A 15,943-nucleotide genomic window follows, 5' to 3' on the forward strand; every position below is an offset into this window, starting at 1 on the left:
ATATCATTTGTGTGCTCATGATTGACTTACGGCAGGCAGACTCCAGATGGCTTCAGGGTGGGGCTCATCATAAGAGTGATCAGGATGTGATTAGAGGGTTGGGACTTCCAGCCCCACCCCTCACCTCCTGGGATGTGAGAGGGGCTGAATGTTCAATTAATCAGTCATGCCTATGTAATGAAGCTTTCACAAAATCCCAAAAGGATTGGATTTGGAGAGCATCCAGGTAGCTGTATTCAGCTACCTGGATGCTCTCCAATACATGAAGGCATATGGAGAAAACATGGATGTTCCCAGAGGTTGACTGCCCTGGGAGGACATGGAAGCATGTTACTTTCCCCCCATATCTTGCACTATGCATCTCTTTATCTGTATCCTTTAATATTCTTTATAAGAAACTGGTAAATGTGTTTCCATGAGTTCTCTGAGCCACTCTAGTAAATTAATAAAACCAAAGAGGGGGTCCTGGGAAACCCAACTTGAAGTCCAACTAGAAGTTGATTAGAAGTTCTGGAGGCCCAGACTTGTAACTGCTGTAGGGGAATAGCCTTGTGGTACTGAGCCCTCAACCTGTGGGGTCTGACACAATCCCCAATTAGATAGTGTCAGAATTAGAGGGCACCCATCGGAATTGACTGTTTGCTTGTTGCTGGGGAATAATACATATTTGGTCACAGAAATCTTCTGTGTTGATAATTGTTGTTGTGGTGTGAGAGAAGAGGAACATCATGTTGAATATGTGTTTTCTACACATACAGCAGATAAGGGGGACTAATGTTCTAGCTGCACCTGGTTCATTTGTCCAGAAGTCATGTTCTTTGACAATGCCTGCTCATTATATTGATTCTACTAATGATGCCATTTTCTGTCAGTCTGATATGGTTCTGTTAGAATTATGACTATTTTATACTGCAATTCACATGTAAGGTAACAAATTTTGATAATATATTCTTCTTTGCATTTGATAAGTATATGCTAAGCACATAAGAAAGGAAATAAGGGTTCTTAATTCATTAGTTACCTACAAATGGTATAAATAATAATTTTAGTATATCCTCCAAGTATGTTTCTAAAGAACTGCTTTGTAACAAATCATGAGAGTCTCTGTAATAAAGCATCAAAGTCTTATACTTTTTTTCCTACAAGGTCTAAGGCAAGTACAAAAGTTCATGATTTTTTTTTCTTTTGAGATAAAGTGTCACTCTGTCACCCAGGCTGGAGTGGAATGGCACAATCTTGGCTCACTGCGACCTCTGCCGCTTGGGTTCAAGCAGTTCTCCTGTCTCAGCCTCCCAAGTAGCTGGGATTACATACATGTGCCACCACACTCGGCTAATTTTTTTTTGTGTTTTTGTTGAGACGGGGTTTCACCATGTTTGGCCAGGCTGGTCTCAAACTTTTGACCTCACGTGATCCACCCGCCTTGGCCTCCCAAAATGCTGAGATCACAGGCATGAGCCACTGTGTCCACCCTGCATGATTTTTTGTTTAGTAAAGAGTCTTGCTATGTTGCCCAGACTGTTCTCAAACTCCTGGGCTTCTCAAGTGATACTTCTGCCTCAGCCTTCTGAGTAGCTGAGATTATAGGAACAAGCCACTGTACATACACACATTATACACACACACACACACACACACACACACACACACCCCAAGTATATGCCCAGTAATGGGATTACTGGCTCAAATGGTATTTCCGGTTCTAGATCCTTGAGGAATCACCACACTGTCTTCCACAATGGTTGAACTAATGGCACTCCCAACAACAGTGTAAAAGCATTGCTATTTCTCCACATCTGCTCCAGCATCTGTTGTTTCCTGACCTTTTAACGATTGCCATTCTAAATGGCGTGAGATGGTATCTCATTGTGGTTTTGATTTGCATTTCTTTGATGATCAGTGATGACGAGCTTTTTTTCAGATGTTTGTTGGCTGCATAAATGTATTCTTTTGAGAAGTGTCTGTTCATATCTTTTGCCCACTTTTTGATGAGACTGTTTGTTCTTTTCTTGTAAATTTGTTTAAGTTCCTTGTAGATTCTAGATATTAGGCCTTTGTCAGATGGACAGACTGCAAACATTTCCTCCCATTCTGTAGGTTGCCTGTTCACTCTGATCACAGTATTGGAAGTTCTGGCCAGGGTAATCAGGGAAGAGAAAGAAATACACGGTATTCAAATAGGAAGAAAGGAAGTCAAATTGTCTTTGTTTGCAGATGACATGATTTTATATTTAGAAAACCAAATTATCTCAGCCCCAAATCTCCTTCAGCTGATAAGCAACTTCCTCATAGTCTCAGGATACAAAGTCAATGTGCAAAATTCACAAGCATTCCTATACACCAGTAATAGAGCACTAAATCATGAGTGAACTCCCATACCCAATTGCTACAAAGAGAATAAAATAGCAAGGAATACAACTCACAATGGATTTGAAGGACTTCTTTAAGGAGAACTACAAACCACCACTCAAGGAAATCAGAGGACACAAACAAATGGAAAAACATTCCATGCTCATGGATAGGAAGAATCAATATCTTGAAAATGGCCATACTGCCCAAAGTAATTTGTAGGTTCAATGCTATACCCATCAAGCTACCATTGACTTTCTTCACAGAATTAGAAAAAACTACTTTAAATTTCATATGGAACCAAAAAAAGAGCCCATATAGCCAAGACAATCCTAAGCAAAAGGAACAAAGCTGGAGGCATCATGCTACCTGACTTCAAACTATACTACAAGCCTACAGTAATGAAAACAGCATGGTACTGGTACCAAAAGAGATATATAGACGAATGGAACAGAACAGAGGCCTCAGAAATAATGCCATACATCTACACCATCTTATCTTTGACAAACCTGACAAAAGCAATGGGGAAAGGATTCCCTATTTAATAAATGGTGTTGGGAAAACTGGCTAACCTTACGCAGGAAACTGAAACTGGACCCCTTCATTACACTTTATACAAAAATTAACTCAAGATGCATTAAAGACTTAAAAGTAAGTTCTAAATATATAAAAACCCTGGATGAAAACCTAGGCAGTACCATTCAGGACATAGGCATGGGCAAATACTTCAAGACTAAAACACCAAAAGCAATGGCAACAAAAGCCAAAATTGACAAATGGGATCTAATTAAACTAAAGAACTTGTGTGCAGTTTTATTTGGGAGTGTGCATGGGGTACCTCTGAGTTTTAAAAATGAAGAAAGTAAGTAGTCATGCTTTCCTGACTCTTTGGTAGACATTGCCTTTTAAGACAGTCATTCTGAGCTGTTATGGTCTTAGGATTTTCTATACTACTAAAACTTATTGATGACATGTAACCAAGAACTTGAATTAAATTTTTTTTTAAAAGAAAAATCACCCAAATGCACATGAAAAAACTCTTACAATATATGTGCACATTCATAGATAACATGTAGAACTTGATTTTGTGTATTAAAACCTTGTAGAAAAGTTCAGACAGTGCACACAATAACTGCAACTTGGTCTTCATAAAATCAGTGATATATATTTCAGATCTATCCACGTTGACCCAGTGAGGTATTTGATTTATTGTGTGATCTAATGATATGCCATGTGATGACTGCAGCATATTTAATTATGCTCTCTTCATGCTGATACCATATGGACATAAATATGATGACATACCAGCATGGATATGCTTATGTGGTTGCTTTTATTGATTTTTACTATATTAGAAATGAAACAGAAATATTGGAAATCCTAGCAAGCATAGCTGTATCTCTCCCATGGCTGTGTTGATTGCAACTGTTTCCCCCTTAAAGCATGTATTTTTGACATGTCATGACCCTGAGAAAATCCAGTGTGTGCTTTTCAGAGAATGACAGTAAGGAGAGGAAATGGCCAATGGTCAAAGTGTTACTTGTCCTCTTGGCTCCCCCTCATGAATGTTAAACTCTAAACTACTCAGGTCACAATTTAGAACCCCTTTGTTTATCCCTATAGAGTGTTCCCAGATGTCAAATGACTAATAGGCCCTTGAAGAAAAAACACCCTGTAAAGCCGTATTGCTCTGGTTTTTGTGTTTGAATGTGTGTGTGTGTGTGTATTTTTTTCTCTTCTGAAAACTGTAAATAGAATAATTTTCATTACAAATGAAAATATTTCTGTTCCATATTTATTTCCTGTCTCATGGCACTCTGCTTTTCTCGGATCTAGTAAGGATGTCAGCGTGTCTTATTTATACCTGCAAAAAATTACATCATTCTTCATTTTTCATGTTAATTACTGACATGTTTTCAAGTCTTCACAAGTTATTTCTGAAGATGTTGGTGCATTGAGGAGAGGCAGTGCCACTGTAGTTAATGAAGTTTTTAAATAGAATATGTTCAATAACATTTCAGAGCCTGTTTCTCTGGAAGGCATAGACATAGTGGTTTTATGCGTAGTTAAACATAAAATAGCTCCACAAAGTCTTGTGTATGTGAAAGTGTTCATATCCTGGGAGATTCTAATTTACTACTCAGCAGTGTCTCCTGGAGAGGAAAATAGGTGAGATAGGCTGCTGAGCCTATGCTAATAACTGATAATATGAGGTGAAAGCATAGAGACAAAATGAGAGATGATAGATACTGAAACCGATGTCAGTGAAAAACAGCTGTGAAAGAGTGTCTATGGGAGAGAGAAGGCCATGGGGCTGCTTTTGTGAAGAAGGAATTTGTACACGTTAGTCAAATGTCTGATATATTTAACATTTTAATAAAGCAAAACCTTATTTTCACATGTGTCAGAATGGGATTGTACAGATGTCACAATATAGTAGTGGTGAGAATAATGAAGAAATGAATGTGGAGGGCAAAGAATGAGGTCCACCAATATGGATATTAGATTTATGAATGAAAAAGAGCGTATGTCAAATTAGGCAAAACAAAGAAAGCAGCTAGCTAGGTAATTTGGAGGTTTCTGATGAGGAGACTTGTGGGGAGTCACGTAATGGAAAGCGGAAGTTAGAAGGATGAGGGTGACCCCCAGGGTTTAATTTCTCCTCCCTAGAAGTTTTGCACATCAATGATGTGTGCTTCGTTCCCATCAGTTAGCATATTGGGATGCAGCTTAATATGCATCCCAATATGCATATTGCAATATGCACAGGAAAAGTGTTTTGTTTTTTTTTCTTTAGGAAAGCTGTGTTTGCTGAGGTAGTTATTTCGTAAAAGGCCTGAGAGACCCCTATGGTATATTATATCAAACTAGCTTTAGAAACAAAGTAATAAAAGAATGTATATCTTGAGTACTAAAAAAAACTACCAATATTCTTGGCAATCATGAGATATATATATATATATATATATATATATATATATATATACACACACATACACACATACACACATATGTATATATTTGGTTGGTTACTAATAAGAAAAGTCTTGGGATTTAGAGATTTTGTTTACCTTATTTACATGGGAATCTGATTATGCATGATTTCTTTGACATGTATGTTTTTGCAAAAGTGGAAAAAGAGATGGCAAAAGAGCTGAACTGCTGAATCTGGGAAATGTAGGAATATTAGGAGCCTTCATGAGTACAAAGAAAATGATTTTTTAAATTATGACTCTAAATATAACTGAACTCACTTCAGATGCATTTAGAATATTTGCATAAAAGAGGATTTGATTTTGGCTGCTCCAGAAACTACTGGAAGAAGGAAAGAGTACTAGAACTCAGCTAAACCACAGTGACTCGTTACTTCTCTTCGTTACTTTTGGGAATCAGAGACATAGATTTTGTTGATATTAGTTATTCAAATGAAATAAACATGAATGTGCATACATTGTCTTTGTTTTCCAAGGAGCTAACTTTTGGATACAATAGCAATTTAATGAAAATTATTTAGAGAATAACATGATAATTAAAACCAGATGATTTTAGAAACAAGAATAATGTTGAATTCATTAATTGATTCATAAAATAGTTACTTTCAATGAATATTGGAGTCATTTCCAAATGTGAAAGCTTATTAATATCTAATGCTTGTAGCAGTTTTATTTTGTAGAAGTATGTCAATATTGATAAATGATGATACTTTTTATTGAGGTTTATATATTATACGTATTGCCGTGAGTGGATGAAAAAACTTTCAGAAGGCTGAACTAGAGAACACAAGAAACTTGGGCAATTATTACACCACATGGGTCTGAGAAATAATGAATACTCTCTACTAGGATTCACCAAACATATATCTAAGCTGATCAATTTAGGACACTTCCACTGAGGAGATGTGAAGTGTACATTCAGCTGAAGTGTCATCGTAATTGTGTGCCTTCTCAGTTATTGGGCAAGTTAAAGAGCATGATGAATGGTTGTAGTATAATGGTGTATTTCCTTCTCATCTCTTGCACTAAAGACATGTGAAAGCATGTACCACCTGCTTTGACATTGATTCCCAGGTGCATGAGTTGCTCCTCTGTTTTTAGACCACATTTGTTTTTATCCCTCCGCATATCCACATTGATACTGACACTGTTTCATTTTAGTTTTAGACATATGACAAATCATATCACATTTGAAATTGTAAGTGTATATTTCATGAAGCCTGTATTGGTGTTTTCTTCAGTGTATTTCTGTCATGTTCCAGTCTCAAGACACAAAGTATAAAACAAAAACCTAAACTAATAGGGGCAGGAGGATACAGCTTGATGGTAACAGTGCATGAATGTATGGATAATTTTATCATATTTACATATGATTGATTATGTATCCCTTTTGCTTTTCAGTGTCTTCTCAGAAACAAGCAGCCTTGAAGGTAATTACACATTCATTTCTGTTTTGAACTGTTAACTATATAGTCTGTGAAATATATTTTATGTATTGATTATTTTGTTTCAAATCCCATTCAGGCTACAAGTGATAAGAAAGATTCTGTTTTGAATATAGCCACAGAAATAAAGGATGGACAAAAATCTGGGGCAGGTAATTTTGCAAAACACATTTAATGTCATGTTCACTCAGGATAGAAGAGAACTTCTCTTCCTTGAATAAATCGCAGGGGGCTCATTGAATCTGCACATTCTGATTCAGGAGGCCTGAGATTCTGCTTTTGTAATAACTTCTTGGGTGACGCTGATGCAACTGGTCCTTGGCCATGATCTGTGTAGTAAGATTATATTCTTCCCCACAGTGAAACTGGCAAGAACGACTGGAGAGCAGTGCAAGATATAACAGGTTAAGGGACAGCATATTCTTGCTTTAATTCTACAGCATGTTTCCATCGTAAAGGGAAGGAGAAAGAGATTAAGTGATAAAAATTATAGGCATCAGATCATATTGTTAAAACCAGATGGAAGAAGTGATTGGAATAACCCATAAACAATGTAGAAAGAGAATTGAGACCTCTGATGTGGTAATTATTTTACTCAAGGAAGAGGGATTGAGCGGCAAGAAGGAGGGAAAAGAAGATGTTATTTATGTAATTTTGGGGTTTCTGCTGCAGAAACCTGATGGGACTCACTTCAGATGCATTTGGAATATTTGCATAAAAGAAGATTAGATTTTGGCTGCTCCAGGAACTACTGGAAGCAGGATAGAGTGTTAGAATTGTGGTGACCCACAGTGACTCATTACCCCTCTTTGTTACTATTGGGCATGAGAGATATATGTTTTGTTGGTATTAGCTATTCAAATAGGATAATCATGAATATGTATACATTGGCTTTGTTTTTCAAGGAACTAACTTTTGGATAAAATAGCAATTTAATGAAAATACTTTAGAGAATAACATGATCCTTCAAACCAGACTATTTTGGAAACAAAAATAATGTTGAATTCATTAACTGACTCCTAAAGTGGTTATTTTCAATGAATATCAGAGCAATTTCCAAATGGAAAAGCTTATTCATATTTAATGCTTTTAGTAACTTTATTTTGTATAAGTTTGCCAAATTTGATGGTTTATTATACTTTTTGATGAGGTTTATATATTATACCTTCTTGCCATGAATGGATGAAGAAACTTTCTGAAGGCTAAACTAGAGGATTCAAGAAATGTAGGCACATTATGACACCACAGAGGTGTGAGAAATAAAGAATATTTTATACTAGGATTCACCAAACATATATTTAAGCTGATCAGTTCGGGACACTTCCACAGAGCACTTGGGAAGTGTACATTCAACTAAAGTGCCATTGTCATTGTGAACCTGCTCAATTGTCAGGCAAGTTTAAGAGCATGCTAAATATTTGTAGTATAATGATATAAATCCCTCTGATGTCTTACATGAAAAACATGCAGGAGCATTAATCACCTGCTTCGACATTGATTCCCAAGTGTATGAGCTGCTGCTCTGATTTTAGATCACATTTGTCCTCATCACTCGGCATATCCACATTGATGTAGACACTGTTTTATTGTAGTAATTGACATATGAAGAATAATATCACATATGAAATTGGAAATGTTTGTTTCATGAAGACTATACTTCTGTTTTCTACATTGTAATTCTGTCATGTTCCTGTCCCAATACACAAAGTAGAAAACATCAAAGCCTACGCTAATTCAGGCAGGAGGATACAGCTTGATGGTAACACTGCATGAATGTATGGATAACTTTATCATATTTACATATGAGTGATTATGTATCCCTTTTGGTTTTCAGTGTCTTCTCAGAAACAACCGGCCTTGAAGATATTACACTCTCATTCATATTTTGAATTATTAACTGTATAGTCTATGAAATATACTGTATGTATTGATTATTTTGTTTGAAATCCCATTCAGAATACAAGTGACCAGAAAGACTCTGTTTCGAACATAGCCACAGAAATAAAAAATGAACAAAAGTCCGGGACAGGTAATTTTGCAATACACATTTAATGTCATGTACACTCAAGATAGAGGAGAACTTCCCTTCCCTGAATAAATCAGCAGGGGGCTCATTGAAGCTGCACATTCTGATTCAGCGGGCCTGAGATTCTGCATTTGTAATAAGTTCTGGAGTGATGGTGCTTCTGCTGATTTTTGGCCATCATCTGAGTAGTAAGATTATAGACTTCCCTGCATTGAAATTGGGAAGAAGAACCATTGGAGAGCAATTCAAGACATAACAGGCTGAGGGGACAGCATAATTTTGCTTTAATTCTACAGGATGTTTCCATCCAGAGGGGAAGGAGAACAAGATGAAGTACTAGAAATTATAGGCGCCAGATCACATTGCTAAAACCAGAGGGAAGAAGTGATCGTAATAAGCCATAAACACTACAGAATGAGAAGTAACGAGACCGCTGATGTAGTAATTATTTTCCTCAGGGAAGAGGGATTGTGAGGCAGGAAGAAGGGAAAAGAAGTTATTTATTTAATTTTAGGGTTTCTGCTGAGGAAACCTGAGGGAACTCACTTCAGATGCGTTTAGAATGTTTGCATGAAGGAAGATTTGATTTTGGCTGCTCCAGGGACTACTGGAAGCAGGATAGAGTGCTAGAATTGTGATAAACCACAGTCACCTGTTACCCCTCTTTGTTATTATTGGATATCAGAGATATATGTTTTGTTGTTATCAGTTAAATGAGATAAATGTAAATATGCATACACTGGCTTTGTTGTTCAGAGAGCTAACTTTTGGATAAAATATCAATTTAATGAAAATACTTTAGAGAATAACATGATCCTTCAAACCAGACTATTTTAGAAACAAAATAATGTTAAATTCTTTAATTGACTCCTAAAGTATTTATTTTTAATGAATAGTGATTTCCCAATGCACAACCTTATTCATATCTAATGCTTGTAGCAACTTTATTTTGTGTAAGTATATCAAATTTGATAATTTTTATTCATTTTGATTAGGTTTGTATATTATACCTTGTTCCCATGAGTGACTGACAAAACTTTCTGAAGGTTAAACCAGAAAATACAAAAGTGTAGACTCATTATTATACCACATGGGTATGAAAAATAATGAATACCATATAATAGGATTCACCAAACATAGATCCAAGGTGACCAATTCGGCACACTTCTACTGAGGAGCTTTGAAGTGTACATCATCTAAAGTGTAATTGTCATTGTGTACCTGCTCAATTGTCAGGCAAGTCAAAGAGCACGATGAATATTTGTAGTATAATGGTTTAAATCCTTCTGATGTCTTGTATGAAAGACATGCACAATTCTGGCTCACTTCAACTTTCACCTTCGGGGTTCAAGTGACTCTCCTGTCTCAGTCTCCTGTGTAGCTGAGTTTACAGGTGTGCACCACCAACCTGGTAATTTTTGTATTTTTACTAGAGACCGGCTTTCACCATGTTGGCCAGGTTGGTCTCGAACTCCTGACCTCAAGTGATCCACCCACCTCGGCCTCACAAAGTGCTGGGATTACAGGCATGACCCACCTAGCCCTGTCTACATGATTTTTTTTTAATTTTTTTAACTTTTTAAAAATAAAGATAGAATGTTTCTGTGTTGCCCAAGGTGGTCTGAAACACCTGGGCTTCTCAAGTGATACTTCTGCCTGAACCTTTTGAGTAGCTGAGATTATAGGAACAAGTCACTGTGCTCTTTTATGTTTTTAATATTTTATAGGTTCCTATTGATTTAAAATGCATTTTACTTTTTGTTTAATAGTGCTTCCTGCTGTTGAACAGTGTTTAAACAGGTATGATTTCATAGATTTTTTAAAGTGATATGTTAACTTAGTGAATAGAGAGAATAGAAACTAGTATCCATTTAGTGTTCTACTCTGTGCTAGACACCATATTACATGCTTAATATTTATCATGTCATGTCATCTCCACACAGCTTTACAAACTATTTGTGCTATTATTGCTTTTTCACTAATTAGGCAACTCTGCTTTAAAGAGGTTGAAATATTGGCTCATGATTCCACAGTTAACAGGTAGCCAACCCATGATTTGGCCATCATCCTGCCTGGCTCTCTAATCACTTCATTTGCCCCTAAGCATAGATGGATACAGACCTATGCAGCAATGGGGCCACGGTACTGGTGTAACTCAGATCAATTTAGAAAGTCACATTTTGTTATATATTAACTCTCTTTAGAGTATTTCTTAGAAGCCTGGATACTCTAAAAGTTTGTCCAAATATTTTGGAAATGGCAGTGGTAACAACATTACATTTTTTTTAACCATCAAAATTTTAAAGGCAGGTATCAGTTACCTGTGGCCACAGGAACCTAAGATTTTCATAAGCAAGACCAGGCCAGTCCTAGAAAAAATATCGTCTTACTGTGCATGGAGATTATCTAAATATAGACCATGTTATGTTAACTATATTTAGCATATATTAAAAGGATATTTCTAATTCATTTCTCTACTTACTGCCTACCCACTTAGGTTTTCTCTTTAAGTGAGTACACTGCCTAGTTCGCTGAAGATTTTTCTTATTCTCTGGATTCTTTTATTTCCTTCTATGACATTTTAATAATAGTTTCTTGATTGCTTTTTACTTCTCTTCTGCTTTTCTTATGATCTTCTATTATAGTTTTCGTGAACGGCAGCTAAATATTTCTCATTTTCCTTTAGACAAAATCAGAGGTGCATAGAATTTGAGAATGTTAAGAAATCCTAGAGACTAAACAAAATACCCTCTAGTACTTGAATCCTTGCTTAACATCCTGATCAAGTGGTTGTTCAGGTGGAGAACCTGAAACTCAAAGAGAGAAAATTATTTGGATACAGTAAATCAGAGAAATGAGAATTGCACTCAGGTTTCTTAGTTCAAAACCCAGTCTTCTTTTACATCATTCTGTCATTGAGTGATTTTAGTTTTAGAAAGAGGGAGTGGCTCTAGTGAACACAGTGGAAGAGGATGAGAATGGAATGAGCTGTTGAACCCAATGAAAGTGGATAAGAATGGAATTTCCAGGGGACAGCCAAATTTGAAGAGAAACAAACTCTTAGTTGGATAGAAATGAGGGTTTTAGGAAAAAATCTGAATATTTGGTTTAATGCAAGTTTGATAAAGATAAGGGAATTGAAAACACAAGATGTTGAGAGCTATCAAGAAAGACATATTAGAATACGGCATTCAAGGAGTTCTGAAGAGGTTGCTGCCTTTTTGTTTGTTTAACTGGAGGAACTGACAAACTTCAAGGTTTTATTGAAAAATGTTAAAAGAATTTGAGCCACTGGAAAGAGTCTCTGGAGCAGATAGGAATGTGGTATCGTTTTCTTCCATCCCAGCTTACAGAGAGCTTAGAATCCCTCAAGAACTAGGGAGCTGGACATTGCTTAAGTACATAGATCTGTGACCCAGGGTGGATGTCCCTTATTTTCTGACTCTTTTCTCAATGCTCTCATGTACATGTAGGGTAGGGCAAATGTAGGATTGGCTGGCAAACCAGCAATGAAGCTTCATTTGGGTAGTTGGTAACATGTGTATGCTTGGGGTGGATGACTGAGACTAACTTATTTTCCAGAAGCAGAGGAATAGAGAGCTCCTACTCTCCATTATGTTAGCCCATCTTTTGAGGAATCTGGGCTTTCCTAGGCTGAAGATGTAGATTGGAGATTGCCATGGATACCTGCAGAAGAGTGATCCAGAAGTGGGAGCCCATAGGAAGGAAGATATTTAGATAGTGATGAATGAAATGGAGCTGTAAGTACTTAGGAGGGAGACTTTTCCAGCAGTCTCTCTCTTGGGTATCTGAGTGTCTATGAAGTGTCTTTATTCAGGGGATTAGGCATGTTTTTTTTAGAGAAATTGTTTTTGTGATATTTCCTATCTGCTTTTGTCACTTTGCTTTTGTCTAAGTACATAATATTTATAATATTTATAAATTTATTATTTACACTTTAATACCAACATTTTTTATTTATTTTGTTTTATTAATAGGAGCTCTAATTCATATTTCATAGCCACCTTTGTATAGACAAAAGAACTGAAAATTAAAAAAATTTTCAAAGGTGAAGGAAAAATAAACTTTCTAGTTCATGGTAATTATTGTTTATACTACTTTGTATATTCTTGCCTGTTTTTCTCCATTTACTGTGATTGAACTTTTATCTTTTAAATCAAATAACATTGAATAACCACAGTATTGCAAGGCACTTTGGGATGGAACAGTTGAGTCTATTTTTATTTAGCTGTTAACCTCAGCAGATTTATAATCTAGTAGAATGCAAAAATCCCCTTTTTGCGTGTCCTCAATACAAGTGGGAAGCACTTAGTAGGCACTTAATTATTTTATGTTGTGTGTGTGAATGAAGGCTTCTGCCTTTAGAGGGCTTATCTGGTTTGGGATGAGATAAATTATGAACATTTTGAAAATTCAAAGAGAACAAGACAATAATTATGTCACAGTCCTAATTAAATGAGATTAATTATAGGAGGTGTTTGGTGGAGTACGTGATACGTATTCAGTATGCTAAAGTCCTTATTTTCTTGACTTTTTGCTGAACATTAATCTAAGTCTCATAAAGTGTTAAAATATGTACATACAGAGGTTTTTTTGTTTTGTTTTTAAATAGAAAATAAATGCTCTTGGAATTCAGAGAAGGGATTACTGTGGTGTGTGTAGGCTTAGACTAGGACATTGGTAGAATCTGAAAATGAAAGGGCATTTGGAGAGGTAGGAGAGAGAAGAGCATAAGCCAAGGCATGGAGATGGGAAAGTTCAGGTAGCATCTGAAGACTAATTGTCTACTTATTTTTTTAAAAATATAAAATTGTGAGTTTCGTTCTTTCCTTTGCCCACCCTCCTCCCCTCTGTTGCCCAGGCTAGAGTGCTGTGGCGTAGTCTCAGTTCATTGCAACCTCTGCCTCCCAAGTTCAAGCGATTCTTGTGCCTCAGCTTCCTGAGTAGCTGGGGCTACACTTTTGAGCCACCACACCTGGCTAATTTTTATATTTTTAGTAGAGACGGGTTTTCACCATGTTGCCCATGGCTGGACTCAAACTCTTGAGTTCAAGCAATCTGTCCATCTAGGCTTCTCAAAGTGCTGGGATTACAGGCCTGAGCCACTGCACCCAGCCTAATTGTCTACTTTGATTGGAGCATAGGAAGTGTGAGTAGGAATGTGGAAGACAAAGCTAGATAGAGGGGATGGGAACAGATTGTCGATAGCCTTGTTCCATTGGGAAGAGTTTGGGCTTTATGTAGTTCCTTAAGATTTATGGATTCATAATTTATACAATAACGACTGAATGTTTTAAATATGAGAAGTGTTGCCTATTGAAGAATACTTCTTTAGAGATTATATACCTATCAACAGATGATCATTTTGATTTAAAACATGTTAAAAACTCTTTTGGAGCTAACCATAAACAAAATCATACATTATAGAAGACTTATCATTTGCAAGTAATACTTTCTGAGAGCTCTGTAAATCCTCAGATTTTAAGATTAAGACATCTTTTTGTGGAATTCTTTATCTGAATTATATTTCCATTGAGAGTAATACGTTATGTTTCTTACATGTGCGCATATTCTACAGGTTAATATCCTTTTCAACTTCAATGAAGGTTTTATTTCACTTGAATCCTTTTTGCTCAGGTTAGAGCGTTTGCTGAATTAGTTCAGTGATTTTTGGTGGGGGAGGTACAGAACATTTCTGTTCTTTTTCTGGTTAAGAGCTGCCATTTTCTTAGTTCTTTCATTTTTCTTTCTTTCTGGGGGCAGAGGGCATTTTACGTCAATAGATTTAGTTTTTTTTCTTTTTTCTTTTTTCTTTCGAGATGGAGTCTCCCTCTGTCACCCAGGCTGGAGTGCAGTGGTGTGATATCTGCTCACCGCGAGCTCTGCCTTCCAGGTTCACGCCATTCTTCTGCCTCACCCTCCCGAGTAGCTGGGACTACAGGCGCCCGCCACCACACCCAGCTAATCTTTTTGTATTTTTAGTAGAGACAGGGTTTCGCTGTGTTAGCCAGGATGGTCTCGATCTCCTGACCTCGTGATCCACCCGCCTCGGCCTCCCAAAGTGCAGGGATTACAAGGTTGAGCCACCATGCCCAGCCTAGTTTTTTTTTTTCTTAAAGTGTTTAGAGTCATTGCCTTTTAACTTTAATACAAATGCTTGGCTGGGCATGGCGGCACACACCTGTGTGCCCAGCTCCTTGAGAGGCTGAAGCAGGAGAATCGCCTGAGCCCAGGAGGTCAAGACTACAGTGAGCTGTGATTGTGCCATTGCACTCCAACCCTGTCTCAAAAAAACTTCCAAAAACAAATGCTTGATGTTAGGCTAGACTCATGTATTTAGCCCCTAGATTGGGCCTCTAGCTTCTCCTTTGCCTTAACAAAGTATCTTCTGGGTAGCTCTCAAAACAGTGCTAACCATGAATGTTAAATCTATGAATGTCATACTGTCTCATACCATAAGTCTGCAGAATTCCTCCCTTGATTGATATCTTATTCTCTCTTTTTGTCTGCATATGTGTATATGTACATATACAGTTATCCTTCGATGTCTGTAGGGGATTGGTTCCAGGAACTCCCCCATCCAATACAAAAAACTGAATTCTCAAGTTCCAATTTTCTTATATAAGGTGGCATAGTATTTGCATATAAACTATGCACACCCTCCCATATACTTTAAATCATCTCTAGATTGTTTATAATACTTAATGTAAATGCTGTGAAAATAATTGTTATACTGTATTTTTAAAATTTTGTGTTTATTGTTTATTGAATGTTTTTGATAGATGGTTGATTGAATCTGCAGATGTAGAACTCATGGATATGAATGGCTAACTGCATGTGTGTGTGTGTGTGTGTGTGTGTGTGTGTGTGTGTAAATTAAAAAAGAAAAACAGAATTTCTAGCCCTTTGAGCAAACATAAGGAACATTTATAAAGAGTTGAAAGATAGGAAGATGTGCTGAGGGAATTTAACTGACTGATTCAAGTTCTGAGGTAGCCTTTGGGATCTCAAGAAACCTACTGATGTACATTTATTTATAAGCTGCCATAAGGTGATAATGTGGGTGTAATTAATTTAGTGCTTTAAGTGAGAATTTGGGCAGTTGAGGG

This window comes from Homo sapiens, chromosome Y (genome assembly GCF_000001405.40).
Source record: "Homo sapiens chromosome Y, GRCh38.p14 Primary Assembly".
Taxonomy (NCBI): domain Eukaryota; kingdom Metazoa; phylum Chordata; class Mammalia; order Primates; family Hominidae; genus Homo; species Homo sapiens.